The sequence below is a fragment of the Homo sapiens genome, chromosome 11 (assembly GCF_000001405.40).
Source record: "Homo sapiens chromosome 11, GRCh38.p14 Primary Assembly".
NCBI classification, from domain to species: Eukaryota; Metazoa; Chordata; class Mammalia; order Primates; family Hominidae; genus Homo; species Homo sapiens.
Window position 1 is genome coordinate 73,155,246 of NC_000011.10, and position 27,811 is coordinate 73,183,056.

The following is a 27,811-nucleotide window of genomic DNA, read 5'->3' on the forward strand; positions in this document are numbered from 1 at the left end:
GAATACCTGCCTGCCTGCAGCAGCAACTTCTCACCCCCAACATTGGCTGCCAATTAACCTTTAAACCTTTTACAACCAGATCACCATGGGCTTCATGCTCAAAGTGTAAAGTGAGAATGTAAAGTATGAGTAAATGGATTCACATCAAGGTTCTGGGGATCATCTTAGGTATCTAAAGGCCTTTTATACTTAGAATATGGTTTCTGCAGCAATTCTTCAACAGAGAGAAAAATCCAGAGATAAAAATGGGGTTCAGGCCAGGCACAGTGGCTCATGCCTGTAATCCCAGCACTTTGGGAGGCCGAGGCAGGTGGATCACCTGAGGTCAGGAGTTCGAGACCAGCCTGGCCAACATGGTGAAACCCCATCTCTACTAAAAATACAAAAAATAGCTGGGCGTGGTGGTGTGTGTCTGTAATCCCAGCTACTCGGGAGGCTGAGGCAGGAGAATCGCTTGAACCTGGGAGGTGGAGGTTGCAGTGAGCCGAGATTGAGCTATTGCACTTCAGCCTGGATGACAAGAGGGAAATTCCATCTCAAAAAAAAAAAAAAAAAAAAAAAGAATGGGGTCCAGGAATATGTTTTCACTGCTCTTTGTCAATCCTCTCTCCAGCTCACATTTCACCCACACACACTTGGAGGGTGCCTCTGGAAGGATGACAACAGCTTGCGCCTCCATTTTTCTCACTTTGGTAATTCATTATCATCCCTAAGGCTGGAAAGGGCATTAAAGTTCAGGCAGTTCAATTCCAAGTTCGATTCAGAAATTATTTCCTCCATCCATTCTTCTGCTCCAAAACCTTGACTAACTCATGCCAGATCTAGTGCTTGGTGCTGTGAGATCCAACAGGGTCTTGCCTTCAGGGAACTCACATCTGAGAAGGGAGACAGGTGTGTAAAGAACACCTACAGTGGAGTGTGTAATGTGGTAGAGGGGAGAGTGATCAGGTTTCTCAGGGAAGGAGATGCTCTCCTGGGATCTTGAAGGATGAATTTACCAAGCAGGGAAATGGGGGAAGGGCTCCAAGCAGCTGTCAATATTCATACCACCAGAACTTGCCCTGTCAGTCAGGCCACTTCTTACTCAGACTCCCAGACTTCTGCACAACCCCTTGCCTTTCTCTCAGGCTTTACTCACCCACTGTGTCTGTCAAAAAACGTTCCCAGGCACTTCATCTGTAAAGGTCCTGTACTGGGTCCTGGAGACTCCTGGCCTTGAGGAGCCCACAGCTTGGTGGGGGATGGATGCATAGAGAGCCAATGACCACATAGTGTGAACATGGGAAGGTCAGAACTGAAGAGCCAGCAACAAATGCTATCTGAGCCATCCTTGGGAGGACAGGGGAGACTTTCTGCAGGAGGTGATATATAACCTGACATCTGAGCTATGGAATCTCCTACATCCTCATAGCACTCCTTTAAGGTAGGCCTTATTATTCCCTTTTAGATATGATAAAACTGAAGCCCAGAAAAGGGCAATGCCTTACCCAAGGTCACATGATTAGTGAGCGAGGTAGGTATGCATTCACCCCTGTGTACCCAGCAGCAGAGGTGGAAGTGGCACTATTGGAAGAGCTGGGCCTCAGGGGCTAGGACCAGAGGTGGAATGTTCAGAAGCACGGAGGGAGGAGCAGAAGCTGAGAACCTGGAGCTGATGGAACCTACAGGTTGTGCCATCTCTCCCAGACATACAGTAGAGCAGAGAAGGGACAGGAATATCCAGCAGGGCATCAGCTTGCAGCTTCATATCAGCAGAGCTGGCTCAGTCCTTAGACACCATCCTATCCAGCCCAGGAGAAACAGGTTTGTCCAGGGCAATTGATGAGGATGCATAGTATCACAGTGGCTGACCCTGGGCTAGATAGAATTCAGAGGCTTTGTCCTCCAGCCCAGTGCTCCACCCATTGCCCCAGCTGCCACTACATTGTTCAATCCAATCTACGTTTACTGATGGTGTGCTCTGGATTGGACACTCTTCCAGGCACCATGGAGACCACAGGGATCCTCCCCTTCACTGCTGTCAGGAGCTTTCAGCTGCATGGAGGAAGTCAGGTTGGGCTCCAAGACCTAGACTCCAAGTAGCATGTGGGAAGTGAGACAGCAGCAGGCATGAACACAGTGCTGGGGAGTGGGGTGAGGAGGACCTTAATGGCACAAGTGCCATGAGCAATCCTTAGACTTCAGATCTCCCATCTGTCCCAAGAAGAGACTGGAGTCAACAATCTCTGAGGTCTGCTAGCCTCTACCCTCCTTTGCCTTGCAAGGATTGGGAGGCAGGGCTGGGTCCAGCTTCTGGTAGGCTAGGGGATGGGAGGCAGAGGAAGTGGCTTGAGCTGCTCGAGCCACCCCCGCCTGCCCACCCCGGGGCTGTCCCATTACCGGCAGGGAAATCACAGACTCAGCGCTCAGACATCTGGGAGGTGCTGGGTGGCCTGGGTATTTTTAGAAGGCCAGAGGCAAACATGCCTGGAATCCTGGGTGTTGCTGAGCCAAAGAAGCTGGGAGGCCAGCAGAGGGTGAACCAGAAGAGGTGGCCTCGGCCCGGGTCCTAACTTCACCAAGGTCAGCTGGACTTGCCTTTCCCCAGAGGCTAGTGTTCAGGCCTATGGTGTGCAAGCTCTGGTTCCCCCAACTTGTCACTCACTTCTGCTTCCTTCTGGGCAGTCAGCTGCAGAGCTGTTACAGGGCCTCAGGGAGAACACTTGATCTCTTGATTCATTCAGCCAGTTCTTTCTGTGCTTTCCGTGGTCCAGGTGAGCTGCTGGGCCCTAAGGATACAGAATAGAAAGGAGGCAACCCTGGAGGGGCTCAGATCTGTTGGGTTGGGGGGGGTGGTGGGAAGATGGGAACACAGACAGTGATAACACCTTGAGATCACTTTGGAAGAAGAAGAAGTATGGGCCTGAGGGAGCTCAGAGGGTCCCCATCTCCCAGGATTGCCACAAGGGCCAGCTGATTATCTATGAACAAAAATGTAAGCTGCCCAGCTAGGGGACCAGCTCTGGGTATAACTAAGTTGTGATTATCAGTCCTTTCTAGAGCCATGCCTTTTCCTTTAGCGTGATTTCTGAAAGATAACATCTCAGAAGTGGAATACAAGGTAAGATTATCTTTTCAGCTGCTGACTTATCAACTACCAGAAAAAAATGCCCAGTTTGCACTGACAGCTCTGTCCCTGTCTCCTTCTCCCCATCCTATCCCTTCCAATCCCTCCAGGCAAATCCACACTATCATATTACAGATAAAGACTCAAGGTCCAGAGGGGCAGGTCCAGCCCAGGTCGGCTCTGAGCTATCCGCGACCTGCAGATTCCCAGATGGTTGAAACCACAGGAAGGACGCTCCCAGGCCTGCCTATCAGAGGAAGAGGGCTAGGGCATGGAGTGGGCAGAGGGCAGGAGTCCAGCCCCACACTGGGCCCCATCACAATTGACACTGTAGCTTAAACCCGATCTGTCCCACTCACTCCCCAGGATTGACTGGCCTTTCAGCCCAGGATTTCTCAAACTGGGCTCTTCAGTTTCATGAGTTTCCAGCCTTATTCATGGATGTCTGCAGATATGCTACCTGAATTTTTTAAGTTTTGTACGTTCACTTTAATGATAATCTAAACACATTCATATGAAAATATTCTGGCTTGACTGGAATGCACAGCATCTTATGAAAGAGGCTGCTCTAAGCGTCAGTGTCCATATCCGGATTTATCAGCAGACTAGTTCCAAAGAATCTAAGGGAACCACATTTAACATCAATGCAGTGTCTCAAGCTGACTTAATCAAGTTTGAGACTCATTGCTCTAGCTAAAATGCTTATTTCCTTCCTGTAAGATCCTGGGTAGAGAAAGAAGGATCTCAGTTGGGATCAGAGGCCTGGGTTCTAATTTTGTCTCTGCTTCTAACTCACTGAATAGCCACAGACAATTCCCTATCTGTGTCTTGTTCTAGATCTCAGTGTATTCATTTGTAAAATGGGAAGTTTGAGTTAGACTATCCCTATGGTCCCTTTGGGCTCTCACATGCCAGGATTCCAAATTGTGATTGAGCTGCCCTCTCACAGCCACCCCTGCCCACCCCACACCCCCACACCATCCCCACTGAGGCCCAGTGCTGCCGGGGGCTCCTGGGTTGAAAAGTAGAGCCTCCAGGAGGGCGGGTGTCAGGCAGATGTAAAGGGGGTGGCCTGAGTGGGATTGAAGGTCATCAGGAAGAAAGCCACCAGGCCAAAGAGAGTACTTACACCCAGCCAGGCTGTCAGCTGAGACCTACCTCCCCAGGCCAGGAGGGCTCCTCCCAGGATAGTGGGGGATCAGGGAACCCACCCCTCACCTGTGTGGGATTCTCCTCTAAGATTCACTGTCAGCCATCCACCCTCCTACCCCATAGCGCTGCCAGGAACCTAGAGCAACCTTCTCCTATAACCCCCTCCCCCATTCCAGCTCACACTGGGGTCTCAGGGAACAGGGCCCCCAGTCAATGCCAGAACAACCCCACTGACTAGACCTTCCTCAGCTCCCATCCTTTGGGCCTGCCTAACTCCTATAGATTACCTAGAATTCAGATTAGGAGTTCCCTCTGTCAGGAAGCTCTCCCAGATCCCCCATTCCAGGCAGGCTCAGGACCTTTATCCAACCTGCCATCTGTACTATCCTCTGTCCCTGCACTGATCCATCTTAACTGTTTTCTGTTGATCTCTCCCTCCTGGCTCCCAGCTGCCTTTGTTAATTCAGACATTGTGGACATGACATCTTTCTCGCTTTGCTGGGAAATGATTTGAAGCTCTGTCCCTTGGCCAAGAAATTCTAGACCTGGAAAAGCACCTGGAGTAGTAGGAAGTTTTCTCCTGACCTCAGGGCTCAGACATGCCTGCCCTCCAAGTCGATGCTCAGCAGCACCGGGGGCAGGCTTTTCCTGCAAAGGACAGTTTGCTGAACAGATAAACTAATCTGGGCACCCTACATCCAGGCCTATCAGTTTGTCCTATCTTGTCGTTCTCTACCCTACGGAGTCTTGTGGGGACACAGGCCAGAGGAGTGATGTCACATGGGAGGACAGGGCAGGATGGGAGGGAGGAATGGGACTAAGGAAATGCTTGGGGAGTAGGTGGGGTGTCCCCATCACATCTAGGTGGAGGTGGCTATGTCTTCATCTGGGTGTGAGACCATCCTAGCTCTCAGTATCCTGGTCCCCACCCTAGCCCAGTTGAGGAGCCTTCAGAGGCCAGAGGTCATATGTCATCACCTCCCAGAGAAACCCTGCCTAGCCCCAAAGTTGTCTGTTCCCAGCATACCAGCCCAGGAGAGAGAGAGCATGGGGCAGTGAGTCACCAAAGTATATGACTTTGGGCATATCACACTCCCGTCTGTACGATGAAGAGGTGGACTCTGTAAACACTAAGGGCTCGTCTGGTCAGGACAGTCTGTAGGCAGATGAAGTGGAAGAGACTGCTCCTGTGTGCAGGTGCTGGCTGGGTGCTCCCGTGTCTCTCGTCCCATCTAACTGCTCGGCCAAGGAGGGAGAAAGCTCCATGGAAAGCTTTGCCTCTGCTTGAGGCAGAGAAAGGTGGCATGGGCATTGTGTGTATGTGATAAAAATATACGCGGAATATAAAAATTACAATTTTAACTATTTTAGATGTACAATGATGTACAATGCAGTGTCATTAAGTACATACACAATGTTGTGCTCCACTATCCATTTCCAAAGCTTTTTTTTTTGAGACGGAGTCTTGCTCAGTTGCACAGGCTGGAGTGCAATGGCATGATGGCTCACTGCAACCTCCGCCTCCCAGGTTCAAGCAATTCTTCTGCCTCAGCCTCCTGAGTAGCTGGAATTACAGGCACCCGCCATCATGCCCCTCTAATTTTTTTGTATTTTTGTAGAGATGGGTTTCACCATGTTGGTCAAGCTGGTCTTGAACTCCTGACTTCAGGTGATCTGCCCTCCTCAGCCTCCCAAAGTGGTGGGATTACAGGTGTAAGCCACTGCGCCCAGCCCATTTCCAAAGCTTTTCATCATCCCAAACAGAAACTCTGTAATTATTAAACATTAACTCCCCATTCCCCTTCCTCCTACCCCTGATAATCCTCTTATTCTGCTTTTGGTCTATGAATTTGCCTTTTCTAGGTACCTCATATAAGTGGGATCATACAATACTTGTTTTTTGTGTGTATCTGGCTTCTTTCATAATGTTTTCAGGATTCATCCATGTTGTACATGTGTCAGTACTGCATTCCTTTTTAAAAGTTGAATAATATTTCACCTTATGGGTATACATTTTGTTTAGCCATTCATCTGTTGATGGACAATTGGGTTATTTCCACTTTTTGGCTATTGAGAATAATCCTGCTGTGAACATTGGTATATAAGTATCTGCTTAAGTCTCTGCTTTCCATTTTGGGGGATATAGACCTAGAAGGGAAATTGCTGGATCAACTTGGTAGCTCAATGTTTCACTTCTAAAGGAACCAACAAACTGTTTTCCACAGTGGTTACACCATTTTACATTTCTATGAGCAGTGCACTAGGGTTCCAATTTTCCTACATCCTTGCAAACACTTGTAATTTTCCTTTTAACAAAAAGTTATATCCATCATAATGGGTGTGAAGTGGTATCTCATTGTGGTTGGCCTGGAGATTTTTTTTCAAAAAACATATTTGACCAGGTGCAGTGGTTCGTGCCTGTAATCCCAATGCTTTGGGAGTCCAAGGCAGAGGATTGCTTTAGCTCAGGAGTTCGAGACCAGCCTAAGCAGACTCCTGTCTATACAACAACAACAACAAAATAATTTAAGAAAAAATTAGCCAGGCACAGTGGTGCACATTTGTAGTTCCAGCTTCTTGGGAGGCTGAGGATCACTTGAGCCCAGAAGTTCAAAGCTGTAGTAAGCTATGATTACACCACTACACTCCAGCCTGGATGACAGAGCAAGACCCTGTCTCTAAATAAAAAACAAAGCAAAACAAAACAAAACAAAAACCGTATTTTAGCTGCAGGGTTCTTTAATCAGAGGAAAAGTTACCCAAAGACTGCATGAAGGCTTTGGTGAGGAGTTGATAGTGGTTAACTGGAGGCAAGAAGGGCAGGTAAGGTCGCATGGGGCTGATAACTATGCACGTGCGTGTGCGTGCATGCGTGTATGTGTATTGAGGGGGTGCTCGTGTGTAGAGGGCACTTTCTCTTGGTCTCCCTCTCCCTGACTTGCCCCACACAGAGGTCTTTTCTGAGGAACCCAGTGGCATAGTATAAAAGTCCCTGACTAATGGTCACTGAAGTCACTTCCTTTCTGGGATACTTACCGGGAGGAGGCCATGTGTAACAGGGGCAGGAAGCTTCTCTATTTCGTCGTTAGGGGAGGACTTAGCAAGTCACCTTGGAGGAGGCCCTCTCTGTTCTGTCCACCACTTGAGTTTATCAGATGTAAGTAGCACCTGGGAGACAAAACAGGACCTTTTGTGGCCCAACAAAGGCTGCCTCTCCTAACATCAAATGGGATGCAGAGCTGAAGAAAAAGGCAACATATTTGGGAGGAGTGAGACGTTGACAAAGGAGCCCCAGGGCACAAATGGAAGAAGGTCCAGTCACTTTCCTTGTGAGGTTCAAAGTTATCTGGCTGCTAAGATGACCATCCCCAGTGAGCCCCACTTGTTGGAAGGAAAGAACCCCTGAGCCCCCAGTGGTGTAGGAAGGAGCCTTGGACTGGTGGCCAGGCTTAACTCTGGGGCTGAGGACCTAGAAGCCCCTCTGGACCTTCCTCCTGGTGAAACTTGCTGGAGCTCAGGAGTGTGAATGAAAGCTTGGATTTGGGGGTCATGTGTTCACAGCTGCTGGGACTCTGAACAGTAAGATGGAGCAAGACTGGGACTCAAGAGTGCCTTTGTTGGAAAGGAGCTAGTGTAGTCCCTGTGGGTTTTGAGCACTCCTGTGACATGGGGGAAGGCCTCCAGAGGGCCAGATTGAACTTCCTGCTGATAAAATCTTGTGGAGCTCAAGCAATTAATGGGGAAAAAATTTGGCCATAGTTTTTACCTTAAGCTGGTGGAGGGACCACACAAGTTACATGCAGTTCTCAAGTTATTTGGTTCTCTAGTTCCAGAGGTGGGGCAGGATGAGGGGGACCAGGAAAGTATATTATTCCTTTTTGCACCCAAGCCAGCTCAAGACAACCCTGGGGAATGGGAGGGAAAGTCTCTGGGCCTCTTTCCTTACTTAGGTTTCCTTCGTGGGTCCCCTTCAAGAGCCGCTCCTCATCTTCAGGATTCCACCATGGCCCCTTGCCTATGTCTACAGCCCATGATAGTACTCAAGTACTCAGGCTATTTCCTGTTCACTGTCCCTACAAAGCTTATCCAGCCTGGGTCCAGGTTCCTCTGTTCCCCATTAGGAGCACTGAGCTCAGCTAATAGACCAAATTGACCGAAGGAGCTGGTGACAACAGTTGGTTAATCCAGCCACTAAGGGCTTCACATGCATCCCTTCCCTGACTCCATTCACATTTCACCAAGGATCACAGTTACTCCAAAGGCACAACAATCTGAGCAAAAGGTTGCTGGAATGTGCTGCTTCAACAGCCTTTCAGCTCTGTTGTGCAAAGAAGGTGTAATTCTACTGGTGGAATTTTAGGCACTTTGAAAGAATGTTTGGGATATAGTTTCTTGCAAATAGGCAACCTTTGCTCACCCACAGAGAAGACAGCATTTTCTGCCTACACATGAGGGAGCCTACGTGAGGCCCAGCTCCAGTTGTGACCTTCAGTTCCACTCCCTAGGCCAAGATGCTAAATTCAGATCACCCATTAGTTCAGAAGCAGGTTAGACCAGTCACCATAAGCATGTGCCTGGGCAACCAATCTTGTTTATGCAAAAGGAGTCTTTAGTCTGCAATGTTTTGCACACCCAGCACACAAATGAAAACAGTTCTTGACTACACTTGGAAGGAAAAGAAAGAAAAGCAGGATAAAGGGCAAGATAAGAGAAGATAGCAAGTGCCAAGGAACTGAATCCTATCAGCCACCAAACCTTCATTTAAGCAGCCTGCTCATCTATGACCTACATTTATGAATTCTTTCTTGCAACCAACCAATCAACCTTCATTCAACTAATCAATGAATGAACCAGTCTTCATTCAGTCAAGCATTCTGTATTTATTAGGACTACTAATTTCATTCATTCATTCACTTTCTCTAACAAATCAACCTTCATTCAACCAGCAAATAATAAGTAGCTATTCACTCTTCATTTATTCAACTAAGTATTCCAAATAGCAAAGCTCAGGGCTGCAAGAGACCTCAAAGACCTCAAAGTTCAACCCACTGCAACCTTATAGGAATTCTGTCCATTACAACCTTGCCAAAATACACAGCTCATTACCTTCAAAGGTTGCCTGGTCTGTTATGGAGCAGCTCTGACTGTGAGAAAAATATTTTAAAAGCTGAAATGGAGTCTGCCCTCCTTGTAACATCCATACCTGGTTCTGATACTTCCTTCCAGGCCACCCGGAATAGCTCAGCTTCTGTGCTTGGAGACCTTGTCTGCAGGCAAAGGTGGAGATTATGTCCTCTGTGGCCCCTTCTCTCCCTCCCCTGTCCCTGTGAGTGATGTTCCCTTGTTGTTCCAGTCTCTCTTCTCTGGTCAGGAAGGTACCACTCAATCCAGGGCTTTCTCCTGGTTTGGGATTTGGAATGGGAGCCCACATTCTAAGTGTAATGTGGCAAGGGGACAGTCACCCCCAGTTCTGAATGGACTAAGCTCCAGAGTGTTTGTCATGACAGCCATTTTGCTCAAGGGCTCTCCCCTCACCCTGTTCCACAACCCTCCACCTCCCTTATCTACAGCTGAACGCCTCAGAGCAGCTAAGCTATGGACTTGCTGGAGATTTCAGAGCTGGTTCAACCCAAAAAGCTTGGGGCCCAAACTGGAAGACAGGGATTAAGTTGGGCCAGCCATTCATTCCTCTGAGGAATTTGAACCTGAGATCTGAGGAGGAAGCTAAGCTGTTGGAAACAGGAGATGAGGCAGGAAGACTCAGAAAAGAGGGAGTGGGTAGCTGCCTGAGTCAGTGCAGGCTATGAGAAAGCAGAAGCTGAGCTAGGGCAAGGGACAGGAGGGATCCACTGCATCTGTAGGGTTGTGGGAGCAAGTGACAGCAAAAAATGACCAATTTAAGCAGAAAAATAATGTGTTAAAAGGACTCTGGGTAATTTGCATAAACTGATCTCCAGTTAAGGGGTGATTTAGCAGTGTGGTATATATTTGGTTCTGAAGAATTATAACACACGACAGGAAAAAAATATGTTTCAGAAAATGTAGGTAATTCTGTAAAGTGATGAATATGTTAATTAGCTTGATTGTGGTAAGCATTTCACAATGTATACCTATGTAAAAATATCACATTGTACACCTTGATTATATATACATTTTATTTCTCAATTATACCTCAGTAAAGCTGGAAAAAATATGACTTCAAATTAATATTTTTCCTTCTGGGTACATAATTTAAAAAATTATTTGATATTATAATTATAAATACATACAATATACAAAATTTTACAATATAAAATTATATATTTTATATTGTATATTTATAATTTTTATGTTGTATATTTTATAATTTTTACAATATAAAAATCATTTTATATTGTAATTTGACATCTATGTAATGTACAATGATTTAAAAATCAAGTCATTTTTCTCATATATAACAAAAATTCAGATCTGAAATTATATAATGATACTACCATAATCACAAGAAAATTTACAATTTCCTCCATGCCTTCTAAGGAAAATATACCTAGGTAGGTTGCAGGTTTTTGGTTTGCTGAGAACGAAGTCTTGTTCAGGGTCAGGGTGATGGCCTTTCCTATGCTAGATCACAGCCTTATATATCACGGGTAAGGAAGAGAACCCCAGAGCTAATTGTGCTATAAAAAAAGTAGTGTGGGGAGAGGGCAGGAAAGGTGGAGGTGGGGTTCACTGGTGAGGAGAGGAGCCTGGGGTTGCTTGAGAGGAGAGAGAGTTGCTGTGGACTGTTTGATGTAAAACACTACTCCATCTCTAGACAGGAATCTACAATACAATAACCATTCCTCACTAAGGCCTTGAGGTAAAGATTTACTTTGGGGCAATTCTAAGAGAAATGTTGAGTCTTGCTCTTTGGCGAGGGGTATAAATGGAGGCACACACCTAGGCTGCATTTTAGGATCCTGCCCAAGGGTTTTTTGTTTTTTTTTGTTTTTTTTTTTGAGACAGAGTCTCACTCTGTCACCCAGGCTGGAGTGCAATGGTGCAATCTTGGCTCACTGCAACCTCTGCCTCTGGGGTTCTAGCCATCCTGGTGCTTCAGCCTCCCAAGTATCTGGGATTACAGGCGTGTGCCACCATGCCCAGCTATTTTTTGTATTTTTAGTAGGGACGGGGTTTCACCATGTTGGCCAGGCTGGTCTCGAACTCCTGACCTCAAATGATCCACCTGCCTCAGTCTCCCAAAGTGCTGGGATTATGGGATTATAGGTGTGACCCACCGTGCCCAGCTCCTGCCCAGGTTTTTTGATGGGCCATTCAATTCTCAGCTGAAACTGGGTATTAATCATTACCCTATGTAAAGAACCAAAGGTGAGCCTCCCTCTCCATCACTGCCAAATTACCAGGGCAGGCGATCCAGCTGAAACAGAGATGGTGTTGGAATGTTTCCCCAAAGCCAGGGGGAAGTTATATCTTTGAGGTCAGCATTCTGACCTAAGAATGAATTTTTCAGAAGGTATATTAATCAGGATTCTTTGGGCTGCAAATCATGGAAATTCATCTCTAGTGTGTTAAGGAAATAAAATAAAGCCCAACCATAAAAGGGGAGTTTGGAATTATTGGCTCACATAAATATGAAAACCAGGAGTATGGCTAGCTTCAGGAATGGCTAGATCCAGGCACACAAGTCAAGTCACCAGGAATCTATCTCCATCTCACCACTCTTTCTTCCTCTGTGTTGGCTTCCCTCTCAAGTTACTCTCCCCATGTAGTAGAAAAGTGACTTCCAAGAGTTGCATCTTGACATCATCAGCCCTGCTAGAAAATGTTGACCTTCCCAGTAGTTCTGGGGAAAGTACCAGTCTCATGTAGCTAACTGGATTATTTCCCCAACTCTGGAGTTGGGAATGTGGGGTCCGCCACATAGGAATTCCTTGAACTGAGAGTAGAGATGGGAAAGTCTCTCAAAGGAAATCAAGGTGCTGATAGCAGAAATGAGAGTGGCAAGACAGCAGTCAGTGAAAAATGAGGCCATGTACCCTGTGCAGTGAGCTCAGGGACTGATGTCAAAAAAACCCCAAACTTCCTTATGTGACCCAGGCTGGAAACTGATATTTAATCCAGCCTTGAAGGACACGTGATTTATTAAGAAACCAGTGTCTCCAGGAAGGGGTGAGGTGGACTGAGGCAGATACCCTGGGCTGATTTGGGTCCCCACTCCCTCTCCTTTTGGCCTTAGCTATGGAGACAGGATTTCCTGGAGCTGGACCTGCTGCTGCAGGGCTGGCTACCAGACAAGCACTGAAACCCTAGGTCAAGGCCACATGCTACCAAAACAGAGAGACGTTTGCAGGAATGCAGCCACAGGGATAAAAAGAGGATGCTGAATTGTGATTAAAGCTTCCTGCTGTAATATTACAGGATGGTGGTAGGAGAGAGGGAGAGAAGTGGGAAAAATTAAGAGATTTTAGGTTCTGACAGCAAGAATCAAACACGGATTCAGAGCCACAGATCAATCCCTCAATTCCTGCACAAGAATGACCCGTGCCACTTAAGGAATATGCAGTGAGAAGGGGAGGCCAAGATTCACAGGACGACAGGAAGGAGAAAAGCGCGCCCAATATGCACTAAGATTGAAGAGATGTGTGCTATAAGCCATAAGATGTGCTTGACCACAGCATGGAAAATCTGGTCCTGCTAGAAGAGATATCCGTGGATGTAATTTATAGGGAAACCTCACTGAAAAAAAGCAGAATTCCCTGGAAACTGGATTTCCTATGCTGGATATCTTCCATTCCCTACCCTTTCCCACCCTGCTCTTTACAGGAAGATAACCACTACAGCCTTAATTAACAACAATCTGTGCTTCTGGCTTCAGGTTGGGTTTGGCCAATGGAGAGGCCCAGCTGGAGATGAGAGGAAGGGAGGAGAGGGAGGTCAGGGTATTTATTCCCGCTATTTTTTTTTTTTTTGAAATGGAGTTTTGCTCTTGTTGCCTAGGCTGGAGTGCAATGACATGGTCTTGGCTCACTGTGACCTCTGCCTCCTGGGTTCAAGTGATTCTCCTGCCTCAGCCTCCCAAGTAGCTGGGATTACAGGTGCCTGCCACCACGTCGGCTAATTTTTGTATTTTTAGTAGAGACGGGGTTTCATCATGTTGGCCAGGCTGGTCTCGAACTCCTGACCTCAGGTGATCTGCCCGCCTTGGCCTCTCACTTACTACTGCTTTTTTTCTTGTGACACTCCCTTGGGCTGGCCCTGTCCCTCAACTAGACTCAACTGCCCCTCTCAAAGTGGCAGACTCTCTGTGACTCTTTCTCATTCCAGATTCCAGTAACTGCTCTGTCTTTTTGGCCATTCAGGCCTAAAGGTGATGACAGCTCTGCTGTTCCCCTACACTTAGTAAATAGTCCCTTCATAAATAAAACTACCTTCCATTTTCATCTGTTTTCGTCGGAATCCTGAATGATATTACCCCTGACATTCTCCCCATTAGGTAAGGTGATTTGAAAGGAGGAAGGTGGGGCTGAGCTGGGCAGTCCTCAGAGAATATGAGCGAACCACGGAGTTATGGCTGGAGGAGCCAGTGCTGACTGGGGAGTTGGAGGGAATGCAGACACACCGCTCAGCCTCCTGAATCTGAGACCCTGCAGGACGGGGGTGGGGCAGGCAGGAGGTCAGCACTCACAGAAGGTTCTCGGAGCAAGCCTGAAGCCAGGGGCTAAAGCCCTGGGGATACTCCCTTCCACAGGGAAAGTCTGGTCACCAAGAGGATTGGCACCTGCTGGCACCTCACAGGACCCTGAACATGTGGTCAGATTGAAGGACAAACTAAGGGACGCCAATGACTCAGGAGTTTGAAACTTTCTGGCACACATTTTCATCGTGACCAGGAAGGCCACCCTGTGGCAGATGCCCTCTGAAGAAGCTCAGTAAATGCATCATTGTTTTCCCTTTACAGGAGATGGGGATCTCAGAGCTGAGGCAGGCAGGGGCCAACCTACTGCTGGGAGGATCAAAGATATGGGGACGGGACTTGTCTCTGAAGGCAGGGGAAGTGAGAGAGGGGTCCAGATGGAAAATTCCACGAGTCCCACTAGCCCCTTTGGATGCTGATGCTTCTACATTTCAACCAGCAGTGGTTCCAAATCTCCATGTTTGTCTTCCCTGTCAAAGCTAAATGTGGGGGTGAGGAAGCAACCAAGAGGATGCTTGAAGAGACTGCGGGGTGCCTGCAAGAAGGGGAGGAGCTTCTCCGGGCACGCTCACTGAGCTCGAACCCTGCAGGCTCATCCTGTGCTGCTGTGGAAATAAAGTGTGGCGAGGAAGCAGGGCTGTGGGCAGGGAGGACCTGGCCTGTGTTCCTGTGAGGCTGGGGTCATTTGTGAATATAGATAATGGACCAGAGAGTTCCGAAGGTAGCAGGCCCATGGAGGCACCTGGGTCAGCAGAGCTTGTCAGGACCAGGGTATGGTGGGTTTGGGAGGAAAATAGAGGCACCCCTCTCAGTTCTTCATACTTCCCATGGCTCCATGGGAAAGAGCATGGGGGTTAGAGGAGGGGCAGGAACCAGAGAGCCAGCCGGCAGCCACTGGGCCAAGCAGTGGGCCCCTGGACCTGAAGGAGGGGCTAGGGGACAGACAGATGGCAGGGTAAAAGAAGGCCAGGCTGCCCGTATCTGTGGGAGTCCTGGGCAATGAGGGGGCCAAGGTAGGATTGAATCCCCCAGGAACCATACATATCACCTCTGTGGAGCCCAGCACATCACAGACGCTGCTAAGGGCAGACAGAACCAGAGTAAGGCCAAGAAGCCCTTTCCCCTGCAGAGTGTAGTCAGGCCAGCAGGAGATCTCACCAGACTGCTTCTCCACCCCCAGGTGCTAGTGGCCAGAAAAGAGAGCAGAGTGTGTAACTGGCATGCCATTCCCCATTCCACAGCAAGCCCTTCAAGCACAATTCTAGCCTGGCTGGGGTAGGAGGATTGCCATTAATTGGATAGGAGATTGAAGTTTTAAACTAGACTGATCTGAGTTGTAATAATTGAACAAGACCAATAATTGAACTTCAATTAAATAATTGAAGTTATTTAAAAGAAAAACCTCTATCTATGACGTTTTAAAAAAAGAGGAAAGTGTCAAGAAAAAATAAAAGCAAAAAAGCAGGCAGGCATGGTGGCTCACACCTGTAATCCCAACACTTTGGGAGGCCGAGGTGGGAGGACTGCTTGAGCCCAGAAGTTTGAGACCAGCCTCAGCAACATAGTGAGGCCCCCATCTCTACAAAAATAAAAAATAAAAAATTAGCCAGGTGTAGTGGCATGCACCTGTAGTCCCAGCTACTTGGAAGGCGGAAGTGGGAGGATCACTTGAGCCCAGGAGGTTGAGGCTGCAGTGAGCTATGATAGTGCCACTGTACTCCAGTCTGGGCAACAGAGCAAGACCCTGTCAAAAAAAAAAAAAAAAAAAAAAAAAGGCAGAATTGTTCCATGTGTCTGCCTCAAGTAAAAATTCCTCAACAACCACTTGCAGTAACACAATGGCCACTGCCCTCCCATCTCTACTGGAGTGCCTCCAGGAAGCTGAGAAAAGAGCAACTGAACCAGAGTGCCTGCGAAAGTCCTGAGACTTACTCTGATCGGATCATCTTGGGTCACACGCCATGCCTGACCCAATCACTGTGGCTGAAGGATGGATGCACGGATTGTTCAAGCCTAGGTCATGTTTTCCCCGCTGGAGTTGGCTTCCCTGGAACCGGAGTGATCCCAAAAGAAATGTGAGAACTGCAGGGAAGACAGAAGGAGGATGAATGTGGGGGAAATACTGAATTGAGGATTTACCCCATTCTCTCACATGAGAGCATAAAGTTTCTGCCTCAGGAAGAGAGTGGGACTAAAACTAAAATTTCAGGTGTTCTATAATTCTTAGAATAATAGCCACTGATATACTTAAAGACTGTGTTAAATAAATGGTTCATACAGAGTAACAGGGCAGAATTAAAATCCTCCAGTAAGAAAAGGGAGCGAGGGAGAGAGAGGAGATAGCAGAGAGTCCCTAAAGGGTGTCCAGGGCCTGACGACTGGGTGGGGCATCAAGATGGAAGGAGAACAGGGCTGAGCTGCTTCCGGAGAAAGCACATGTCTGATGGGAATTTTGTGAGGTGAAATTGTGAAAGTGATAGTGAAGGAAGCCACTAAAAAAAGCCTTCTCTTCTATTTCCCATAGGAAGCCATCAGTTAAAAAGTCAGTCTCTTCTGTCACAGACCACAGTGAGGAGACATGATGACTAAATGCAATGTGGTACCCTGAATTGGATCTTGGAACAGAAAGAGGACAAAATGGGTGAAATCCAATTAAAGTGTGGAGTTTAGTTAATACTAATGTACTACTGTTTCTTAGTTGTAACAAACGTAGCATAGTAATTTAAGAGGTTAACTGGGTGAGAGGTATAATTGTATAAGATGACTCAGTCCCCTTTCCCTGGGAGCACTCGGGCTGGGGAGTATGCTGACTGCCATGCACAATGTGGCCATCTAGTCTATGAGAAACAGGGCCCAAGACTGAAGGTCTCCAGAGAAGGCCCCTAGCCTTTGCAACTTTTCTAATCTAAAATTATTTCAGGCCGGGTGTGGTGGCTCACGCCTGTAATCCCAGCACTTTGGGTGGCTGAGACGGGTGGATCACTTGAGGTCAGGAGTTCAAGACCAGCCTGGCCAACATGGTGAAACCCCGTTTCTATGAAAAATACAAAAATTAGCTGGGCATGGTGGCAGGCACCTGTAATCCTAGCTACTCCGGAGGCTGAGGCAAGAGAATCACGTGAACCTGGGAGGTGGAAGTTACAGTGAGCTGAGATCATGCCACTGCACTCCATCCTGGGCGATAGAGCAAGACTCCGTCTCAAATAAATAAATAAATAAATAAATAAATAAATAAATAAATAAATAAATAAAAATAAATTCAAAATAAAGTCTCTTTTTAAAGTCACTTTCTCCCTATCACTTTACAGTGTAGATTCACTTTTACTGCATGAAAGAGCACCACACCTGGGATGTTATATCTATAAATGAACACTCATCTGCCTCTAGGTACCCTGGCATCACTGCTATAGTACAGGGGCAGTGGAAAGAGCCAGTCTCGACTGTAACTTCTCTAGGATCCTGAGAACTGGGGGTGAGTGCCTGTGATAGCCTGTGATGCACTTAGCAGGTGGTGCAGCACATAACAGATCCCCAGTGGAGGTCAGTGGTCTTCAATCCGCCCCTATCTGGACACCTTATAATGTGCCTGCCTCCTCCTCTGGGTCTCCCACATTCCCAGGCTACTCTTCCCTGTGCCTGGGTGGTGAGGTGAGTTGCTCAGCTGCTTAATGGAGCTTTTCTACAGGGCTGAGAACCCCAGCGCTGAGGCTCCTGCATCTTGGTGCAGGTTGGCTGTGCCTTACTACCTGCCATCTGTGTGGACAACTGAGATGACTTTGTGCTGGGTTCTGAGCTGACTCATTTTATTTAATCCTTACATCCACCTGGAAGGGTAGGAATCACTATCTCCATTTTACAGGTGGAGAAACTGAGGCTGCCAAGGCTGGTATTTGCTTTCTGTCAGAGCAACCTCCTGAGACAGATAAGATGAACAGCACCAATAACTCTGGGGCTAGGTGGGCTGATAAGTAGAAAAAACTGGGATTATTGGAGAACTTGGAGAGGAAAGGTCACTTTTGTGTCCCACAGTCAGTGGACTTTGGAGTCAGGAGGGTTTCCGGGGAGAAGGGGATGAAGAAAGCACCCCCAGCAGTAGGAAATAGTGAGAGGCCTCGCACTGAAATGGAACACCTAGAAACCCAGCCGTTCACAGGAAGCCTGTCTAGGTGGCCTGGGGCCCAGGATCCATGCAGAGAGTGGGATGGGACCATAAAACAAGCAAAAGAATCAGGGATTGTTGGGATGCCATGGGCTATTTCCATCCCACTCCATAGGCCCTACTCCCCCTCAGGAGCTGCCCCTAGGCTAATATTAGCATTCCATCCTTCAGAACTAAGGTCTACCCACTCTAAGGCCTCTTTGTTTCTGTTGGAAGGAGGTCCCTTGCTAGGGCCTTTATGGGTCCGTGCTGGGAAGACTCAAAACAGGGCATAGATGGGAGTAGCTTTTATGCATCTATTTTGTGCCAAGCCCTAAATGGGCCCTGGGGCTCAGGATGACCCAGTCCCTTTCCCTAAGTGCATTCAAGCTGGGGAGTATGCTGACCACCATGCATGATGTGGTGACCTAGTCCATTATAAACAGGGTCCAAACTAGTGGTGCCCAGAGGAGACCCCTATCCTCTAGGGATACTCCTTGGCAAGACCTCCCTAGCCTCCTCCCACTGCTTCCTGGTGGGCAGGGCAGCCAACAGCAGTCCCAGTGGGGAGGAGAACTCTGAGTTCCACCCCTGGCTGCCTCTCTAGGAGAATCAGATCCAGGATGGGGCGGGCCCCTGCCAGGTCTGGCAGGGTGAACTGGGCCTTTCCACCCTGGAAGCCCTCTTCCGGCTAGAGGGCAGTATCTGGGCACAGCCCCACAGTGACGCTGCTCACAGGCCTCACTGCCAGTGGGTATGATGTCATGCACCACCCTAGGTGACCTTTGCAGCCCACGTAATGGGTGTGATGCTGTGAACCTGCCATCTGCCAGCTGTCCAGGAGCAGACCAACCCAGGAGGGCCTTATCTCCTGGGCTCGAGCTCAGGACGCCCAAGCGCAGGACTATCTTAATCTTAAGTGCCCTGGAGACCTCTCCATGTATGTGCACTGCACGGAAGTCCTCTGGCCCTCCAGCTCAACCTGCTCCATGCATTTCCACAGAACTTCAAGGAAAGGGAAGCCTCTGTGGTGGTGGGAAGGCAGGCGGTGCACGTTTAGATGTGGGCCATTATGTGGGGACCTTGCTTCAGGCAAGCACTCTTTCTGTTCTTGTGAAATGAGTCAGAAGGGGTCAAGGTGATTCCCTGTCAGAGGAAACCCCACGATTTCAGGAAAGAAAGGCTTAGAGACACTCCGAGGCTGAGTGGGGGATGGAATCACAGTCTCGGATAAGATGTGGAAGGAAAGACCATGAGGTTGGAGACAGAGTGGATTCCGCCCTGGAGAATGTAGAACCTGTGATTGTGCTGTAGGTGCATGGATGGATGGGAGTCCAGAAACAGGGGCCTGACTAGGCCTACCTGACCCCATGAGAAGCACTAGATTCTGGATAATCAGAACCAAAGGGGCTACAGAGCCCACAGCATCCAATCCAGTACACTGATGGGAAAACCAAGGTCTAGAGGAGAAGGGGATATGTTTTAGGTCACCCAGTGTGTCAGGGGTAGGGGTCCTGCCTTCCAGGCCAGATCATTTACCAACCATGTTCAGGTAAGTAAAACCCAGCCAGACAGTACCCTATGTAGGGCTTGTGAAAGGGAAGGGCACCTAGAGAGACTATCTGGTACCCCTGCCTTATTTCTCAGCTAATGAAACAAGCATCAGAGAGGGGCAGGGACTTGCGTTAGGTCACAAAGCCAGGGAGCAAAATCTTCCCAGCAGCCCCAGGTGTCCTGACCCCCGCCCAGTCCAGGACTTCTCACTGCATCACTGTCTCCCAAAAAGAGGAAAGAGCAAGGAGAAGGTTGGGCATGGTGGCTCACACCTGTAATCCCAGCACTTTGGGAGGCTGAGGTGGGCAGATCACCTGAGGTCAGGAGTTCAAGACCAGCCTGGCCAACATGGTGAAAAACCGTCTTTACAAAAATAGAAAAATTAGCCAGGTATGATGGCAGGCGCCTGCAGTCCTAGTTACTCAGGAGACTGAGGAGGGAGAAATGCTTGAACCCGGGAGGCGGAGGTTTCAGTGAGCCGAGATCGAGCCACTGCACTCCAGCCTGGGTGACAGAGCGAGGCTCTGTCTCAAAAAAAAAAAAAAAAAAAAGAAAGGAAGAAAAGAAAGAGCAAGGAGCAAGGAGAAAGGAGCTCACATTTACTGAGCACCTATTATGCACCAGGGCCCTGATGTGACACATCTTCCTTCTAATCCCCACAGCAGCCTTGGAGGCAGATGTTTTTGCTCATGTTTAACAAATCAGAGAAAAAGATTCAGAAGTGCGAAGCAGTTTGCCGAAGGCCGCACAGATGGTAGATGGCAATGCAGGAACTTTGGCCCAGGTCTGCCCACTTCTACAGCCTGCACTCTTGTTCTTACCCAGGCTGGGTTGGGTTTAGGACCCAGGGCTGACAATGCAAGGACATGGTAGGGAGGAGGAAACCAGGAGTAAATTCCAGGCACTGCCCTTGCTCCCAATCTCCCAGTTGTCCCAGTGACAAAAATAAACCGAAGTGACCTTGGACAGCGGAGCCCTGCCTCCCACTGAAAGTTTCTTTTTTTCTCTTTCTCTCTTTCTTTCTTTCTTTTTTTCTCTCTCTCTCTTTCTTCCTTTTTTAAGTCTATTGATCCACACTCAGCAATAAAGCCACACAAAATAAACAGCTGATGGACAAAAAGCATGGCTCCTGGCTTGCTGAGTTTCTCACCTCCAAGTGGTTTCAGGCCTCAGAACCTCAGATTCTCAGATCAATTTAGAAATTTGTAGACTCTCACAGCCCTAACATGAGGGGTGTCCCAGGCTGCTGGTCAGCCCCACCAGTGGAGGAATCCACGACTTCCCAACTGGCTCTTCTGTGGACCTTTGTTCCCCTTTCTTAGGCATGGCTTCAGAGCTGTAGGCCCTGCCCAGGTGGTGTCAGACCCAGAGCAGAGAAGAAGCAGAGCCACTCTCCTCTCAGTTGAATAGGGCAATCTCAAGGCCATGGGGCAGCTCCCTTTGTGCCTCAAGGGAGACTATGGGGATGTCACGAGAGGCTGGTCTTAGCTCAGTGTGCAAAAGGCAGTCTCAGAGCTGAAGGGGCTGCTTCTGGAGACAGGCATGAGGGTGTGAGAGCAGGCTTGGATGAGTCCAGAGGCTTTCTGCCTCTGCTAATGCAGCCAGACATCAAATCTACCTTTGTGCTGGCCACGTCCCACTGCATTCCTTTCATCTAAGACCTCAACCTTTTTTTTTTTGTTCCATCCAAGTGCAAAGTCTTGCATTTCTCTTTTAAATTCCATCTTGTAAATATTAGCTCTTCATCCTAGTACAGTGGCTTTACATGGTGCGGTAGAGTTTATGTGCAGAGCCTTCATGTGCATCATCTCCTTCCATGCTTAGGACAGTTTGCTGGACCTCACAGAGGTGATTGATGCAGCATCCCCCCGGGAGCCGGGTGAAATCACAGACTCCAGCAGCAGCTTCTGAGATGACTGTGAGCATTAGGCCAGCAGGACCCCATTCCCTGAGGAGCAATGAATACAAGCCCATGGAGCCAGAGAAGGGGAAACTGGTGCAGCCCACATGGTGTCTGGAAGGGCTTCCCAAGGGCTGCTTCAGAGGCAGCACAGAGCCTCAGGCAGGACTACAGGAGGAGCAGGAAGAGGGGAGGATGAGTCAAGTCTACCTGGATTGGTTTGGGTGGAGTCCTTCCTGAGGCAGGGTGGTGTGGGGGATGGTTGTGTAGATATTTTTGAAGCCCCCCCGCCCCAGTGTCTGTGTCCCCTTAAACAAGTATTACAATCTTCCTTCCCTCCCATGAGCAGAAGAGGAAACTAAGGCTCTGCCAGGACTAGAGCCCAGGTGTCCCAGATGGATCACCTAGCCAGGGATCTTCAGCAAACCAGGCTGGTCCAACTGTCTGTCCCGAGCTCCCTGAGTTGGCTTGAGGAGAAGACTTGCTCCCTGCCCTCTTGGAACTCCTTTCTGGTTGGAGAGCTGGGTGTTGAGTTTTGTGTAAGGTTATTTAGGCAACAGTATTCCAGAAAGGCTGATGCTGGAGATTCAGACACTGGCACCAAGCCTGTGAGCATCACTCTGGAGCTGGACCATGAGCCCATCCTATGCTCCTGCCTCTAGACCTAGGTTGGGTTGTTCAGGAGCTGGGTCTGGAAGCAGATCAGAAAGCAGGGTCCACCCCAGCCCAGGGGCTGGGCCTGTGGGTGTGTCCAAGCTAAACCTCTACACAAGGATCCATTGTGGTTGCTCAGCCTGGCCCTGGGCTCTGCCAGCCCTTCCGGCTCCCGGAAAATGTTTCCCGTCTGGCAGCTCCCAGAGCAGCCTGTCCTTGGCCAAGATGCTGACTGGCCCCACACACAGGCCTCTCCTACCCAGTGAGGATCCTGGAGTCCTGGCAGCTCAGAGCTCTTGGGTCCAGCCCCCATTTAACAGTCAGGATCCCTTAGGCTCAGGGAAGTAGGCACAGGCCACAGCAGCACACGAGAACCAGAATCAGGACCAGAACCCGGCACTCTGGCCATTTTCTCAGCTCTCGCTACCAACATGAGGCAGAAGGATGCAGACTCGGAGAAGGGAAGGGGCTGTCCCATTACACAGTCCTTTGTGGCAGAGTCTGGAGGAAATGACTGGTGCTTAGCTGGCCGCTTGCCCACCTGGACCCCTCTCATCTGGGTTCTCTAGGTTCAGCTGTGTGGCCTCGTGAAGGTTGCTATTCCTGTCTGCATTTGGGGACTGAAGACTCCCCACTCTCAATCCATCCCTGACATCCTAAGCTTTAAAATCAGGCATAAGCGCACTGGATGGGGTGAGGAGAAGCAGCTCTGGAATTTGGGGCTTTGACAACTCCGCCCCATCTGTGTGTGCCAAGCTGTACCAGAGCCAGAGGCTTAGGGCCTGGGGCTCCCCAACCCTTACTTGGGCTGACAGTGCCACCTGGTGCCCAGTCGGTGTGACATGAGTCCCGCTAGAGATGCAACCACAAACCTTCGCTCTCTGTGGGACCTCTGAGCCACCCCATGCTAGGCGCTGGGGACATAGAAGAAATTGTGACCCCAGATGTGAGGGGAGAAGACCCACAGAGAGTGACCACTCAGGATGTGGAGGCTGTGACAGCAGAAAGCCCGGGGCCGAGGAGGGTCGCTGAGTACCACAGGGTCAAGAAAAAGAGGCATTGCCATCAATGTAACTCTCACTGTCTTCTAGGCCAGGTCCTATGCAGGCCTGGGGACCCTCAAGGAATCAATTGTAATCTAATAGAAAAAAGTAGGGTGGGGAAGGGAGCTCAGAGCCAGGGACTTGGAACTGGGTCTTGAAGAATGATAGTAATTCATCTTGTGAGCCGTGGGCATTCCAGGCTCAGGGAACAGACTATGCGAAGGCATGGAAGAGTGAGCTTGTGTGTATAAGCTTGAGGGTGACAGGTGTGGAGAGGAGGGGGACAGCAGAAGAAGTGCCAGAATACGAGGTCTGAAAAGTCACAACCCTGGGTACCTGTGGCCGACACAGCTTGTCTGAATTTCCTTGCCCCATACCTACCTCCTTTCTTGACCTTCAATGTCTGGGCAGGTACAGAGCCCCTGCCTCAAACTCCAACCCCATTCCCTCTGGGTCTGGTTACCTAGAGGAGGTCCTGATTCCTGAAAGCCTCCCCTCTTCCCCCAGGGCAGGAGCTAGGTCGGGCTGCCCACAGGCTGATCTGAGGGGACACAAACCTATGACTTCCCTGGCCTCCAAGAAGCCCAGGCCCAGCCCTTAGATTGGAGAAGGATCTTTAAGCAGTTATTTAACTCTAGACTCAGGTTCCTCAACTGATGGGGATAATAATGGTACCTGACTCATGGGATGTGGTGAGGATTAAATGAGAAAATGCATAGAAAGCCACTTATTTGCACCTTGCTGGCATGGGTTGAGGCCAGGTAAAGGGGCTCCTCCCCATTGCCAATCCCCCTGGCATATTTCCTTCTAGGGGGAAGCTTGAGGGCTCCAGATTTTGGCCCCACCTGGGCTGCCTACCCCCCAACTTCAGGCTTCTTTCTACATTTCCTGAACCCAGAGAAGCTCTGTTGTATACCCAGCAGGTGATTGCTTTTTCATGTTTCCCTCTGATTGTTTTTTTTTTGAGACAGGACCTCACCCAGTCACCCAGACTGAAGTGCAGTGGCATGATCTCGGCTCACCGCAATCTCCACCTCCCGGGCTCAAGCAATTCTCCTTCCTCAGCCTCCCAGGTAGCTGGGATTACAGGCACATGCCACCATGCCCAGCTAGTTTTTGTATTTTTGGTAGAGACGGTGTTTCACCATGTTGGCCAGGCTGGTCTCAAACTCCTGACCTCAAATGATCCACCTGCCTCAGCCTCTCAAATGCTGGGATTACAGGCGTGAGCCACTGTGCCCAGCCTCCCTCTGATTTTTTAAAAAATAAAATGTTCAAATACAAAGGAAAAAAGTATACAATAAGCAAATGAGCACCCATACGTTCTTCTAGACTCAACGATTAATGTTTTGCCTTATTTCATTCATTGCTTTGTCATTTTTTAAAATTTGAACTAGGGCCAGGTGCGGTGGTGGCTCATCCCTGTAATCCCAGCACTTTGGGAGGCTGAGACAGGCAGATTGCTTGAGCCCAGGTGTTCAAGACCAGCCTGGGCAACGTGGCAAATCTCTGTCTCTACTAAAAATACAAAAATTAGCTGCGCATGATGGTCCCAGCTACGCAGGAGGCTGAGGCAGGAGGATCACCTGAGCCTGGGAGGTCAAGGCTGCAGTGAACTGAGATCACGCCACTGCACTACAGCCAGAGTGACAGAGTGAGACACTGTCTCAAAAAAAAAAAAAATTGAACCCATTTGAAAGCAGTCACAGGTACCATGACACTGAATGACCCCCAACACCTTGGTGTGCAGCTCCAAAGATTTTTCATACATAACCACAATCATAATAGTAAGAAAAGCAATAATTCCATACTATCATCTAATATCCAGCCCATATTCCTATATCTCCCAACTTTCCCAAAATGGATTTTACAGCTATTTTGGGGAGTTTGGGGGAGTATGGAGGAGGAATTCAAGATCCAGTCAATGTTCTTTCATTGCATTTGGTTCTTGGTATCCTTGTTCTTTTTATTCTATTTATTTATTTATTTATTTTGAGACAGGGTTCTGCTCTGTCAGGCTGGAGGGCAGTGGCATGGTCACCACTCACTGCAGCCTTGACCTCCTGGGCTCAAGTGATCCATCTGCCTCGACCTTCCTAAGTGCTGGGATTACAGGTGTGAGCCACAGCCCCCAGCCTATAACCATGCTTTATATATTTTAGATACAAATTCCTTATCCAATACATAATATGCAAATATTTTCCCCCATTCTTGTTGTTGATTGTGCTTTTGGTGTTCTAAGAATACATTGCCAGGCCAGGTGTGGTAGCTCATGCCTATAATCCCAGCAATTTGGGAGGCCAAGGCGGGTGGATAACTTGAGATCAGGAGTTCGAGACCAGCCTGGCCAAAATGGTGAAACCCTGTCTCTGCTAAAAATACAAAAATTAGCTGGGTGTGGTGGTGCATGCCTGTAGTCCCAGCTACTTGGGAGGCTGAGACATGAGAATTGCTTGAACCTGTGAGGCGGAGGTTGCAGTGAACCGAGATTGCACCACTGCACTCCAGCCTGGGCAACAGGGCAAGACTCTGTCTCAAAGAAAAAATAATAATAATACATTGCCAAATCCAAGGTCATGAAGACTTATCCCTATGTTTTCTCCTAAGAGTTTTATAGTTTTGGCTTTTACATTTAGGTCTTTGATCCATTTTGAGTTAATTTTTGCATGTGGAATAAAGTAAGATTCCAACTTTGTTCTTTTGCAGGTGGCTAACAAATTTTTCCAGCAACACAGAGCTGAGAGGATTGGGATCTCAGAGAAGAAGGAGCCCTGCATTCTTGGCTTCATCTGCCTGGAGTGGAGTTTCCATCATGCTGAGCTGGAGGTGCACGGGGCCAGGGAATGAGCAAGTCGTAGCTCAAATGTCCCAGACTCTTACTATTCTTATTGAAATTTAGTAGGTTTTCTTGAATAAATGTTTCTTCATCTGCTGTATGCCCTTAGGACAATTCCCAGGAACATACATCTATATTGATATCAATATAAATATAAATAGATAATTATGTATGTATAACTTTAGCAGTTTTACTTGTTCTGCTGGAAAGAAGGTCTGGAAGGTTTGCAGAGCTGCTCATGCCACCATTCCAGAAGTTATCCACCAGTTCATTGCTTTTTGCACAGTAGTATTCCATTGCATGTCTATGCCACAATTTGTTTATCCATTCACCTGTTGATGGACATTTGAGCTGTTTCCTGTTTGAGGCTATTACAAATAAAGCTGCTTTACAAATAAAGCTGCTTTGAACATTTGTGTATAAGTCTTTGGACATATGCTTTGATTTATCTTGAGTAAATATCTAGAAGTGGAGTGGCTGGGTTATATGGTAGGTTTGTGTTTTAATTTTTAAGAAGCTGCTAAGATGTCTTCCAAAGTGATTCCCCCATTATGCACTCCTGCCAGCAGTGTGTGAGAGTTCCAGTTTCTCCAGATTCTCACCAACACCTGGTATGGTCAGTCTTTTTAATGTTAGCCATTCTAATAGATGTGTAGTGGTATCTCATTGTGGTTTTAATTTTCATTTTCCTAATAGGTAATGATGTGTTTGAGCATTTTTTCATGTGCCTATTTACTATCCATACACCTACTTGGTGAAATATCTGTTCAAATCTTTTGCCTCCTTTCTTTTTTCATAATTGGGTGGTTTGTTTTCTTATTATTGAGTTTTGAGAGTTCTTTCTATATTGCAGATACAAATTTTTCTTGGATATGTGTACTGCAATAGTTTCTCCCAGTTAGTAGCATGTCTTTTCATTCTCCTAACGGTTTCTTTCAAAAGGCAAATGTTCTTAATTTTGATGAAGTCCAATTTACAAATATTTTTCCTTTACAGATCATGTTTCTGGTATTATATTTATAAAATCTTTGCCTAACTCGAGGTCACGAAGATTTTGTTTTATTGTTTAGTGTTCTCTCCTTCCAATTTTTGGTTCCCATTGTGTGTATGGTTTTATATCTTGCTTTTTTTCCCAAAAAAACTTTAAAAAATTTAAATCCATGGAAAAATTGAAAGATTAGTATCATGAACAATGGCATACTTTTTGCCTACAAGCATCAATTGTTAATACCTTGCTACATTTGCTATATCTCCCTGGATACCTTTAAGTTGCAGGATTTTGTAACACTGACTTTTTGCAAGGTCTAGGAAACCCATCCTGAAAATGTTCTTTAAAAAACATCAACAGCAGCCTGTGCCATTTTCTGCGATAACAAAGGTCGTACTTGCCCAGTGTAGAGGACTGGGAAAAAACAGAGCAGCAAAAGAAGAAAATAAAACTGTTCCCTCCCCCTATTCCAACCCCATGATACCAGGAAAGCCACTTACCTGAGAGGTGGGTAGGAAGGACACACAGAGCTCAGATACCACCTGAAATTTGGGGTGCAAATCCCTGACTCCCATGGCAGCCCCCTATCCTGGGATCACTTTCTGCAGAAGAGCCCTCTGCTGGGAAGCTGAGGCCAGGATCTCCGCAGCCGACCTTGAGCCTGCTCCACCCTCTCTGGGCTTAGCTGGTAAAGTAGATAACAAGGTGGCTTGGCTTCTGTCCCAGGACACTATTTGTATCTTTACCGTGGTTACTTCTTATTGTGA

General features: G+C 48.0%; 1 long non-coding RNA gene across 2 annotated transcripts, besides 5 other annotated features; it reads right to left on the reverse strand.

Moving 5' to 3' along the window:
* Positions 1-534: 534 nt before the first annotated feature.
* Positions 535-27,658, reverse strand: IUR1 (imatinib upregulated ABL suppressing lncRNA 1). 2 transcript variants are annotated; one of them, XR_950294.3, is made up of 4 exons: positions 27,545-27,658; positions 9,462-9,525; positions 7,295-7,426; positions 535-2,768 (listed from the first exon to the last, which is right to left on the reverse strand). It is a non-coding gene; the product is annotated as an imatinib upregulated ABL suppressing lncRNA 1 (long non-coding RNA). The 2 variants fall into 2 exon arrangements; XR_001748495.3 differs by lacking the exon at positions 9,462-9,525.
* Positions 1,492-1,581: an enhancer, noted in NCBI's record as "active region_5221". NCBI's record gives its function as "activates an Ori minimal core promoter by ATAC-STARR-seq in GM12878 lymphoblastoid cells {active_cell/tissue: GM12878}" and the evidence as "EXISTENCE:reporter gene assay evidence [ECO:0000049][PMID:35858748]".
* Positions 2,072-2,121: an enhancer, noted in NCBI's record as "active region_5222". NCBI's record gives its function as "activates an Ori minimal core promoter by ATAC-STARR-seq in GM12878 lymphoblastoid cells {active_cell/tissue: GM12878}" and the evidence as "EXISTENCE:reporter gene assay evidence [ECO:0000049][PMID:35858748]".
* Positions 2,132-2,271: an enhancer, noted in NCBI's record as "active region_5223". NCBI's record gives its function as "activates an Ori minimal core promoter by ATAC-STARR-seq in GM12878 lymphoblastoid cells {active_cell/tissue: GM12878}" and the evidence as "EXISTENCE:reporter gene assay evidence [ECO:0000049][PMID:35858748]".
* Positions 2,422-2,601: an enhancer, noted in NCBI's record as "active region_5224". NCBI's record gives its function as "activates an Ori minimal core promoter by ATAC-STARR-seq in GM12878 lymphoblastoid cells {active_cell/tissue: GM12878}" and the evidence as "EXISTENCE:reporter gene assay evidence [ECO:0000049][PMID:35858748]".
* Positions 22,806-22,855: an enhancer, noted in NCBI's record as "active region_5225". NCBI's record gives its function as "activates an Ori minimal core promoter by ATAC-STARR-seq in GM12878 lymphoblastoid cells {active_cell/tissue: GM12878}" and the evidence as "EXISTENCE:reporter gene assay evidence [ECO:0000049][PMID:35858748]".
* Positions 27,659-27,811: the final 153 nt, after the last annotated feature.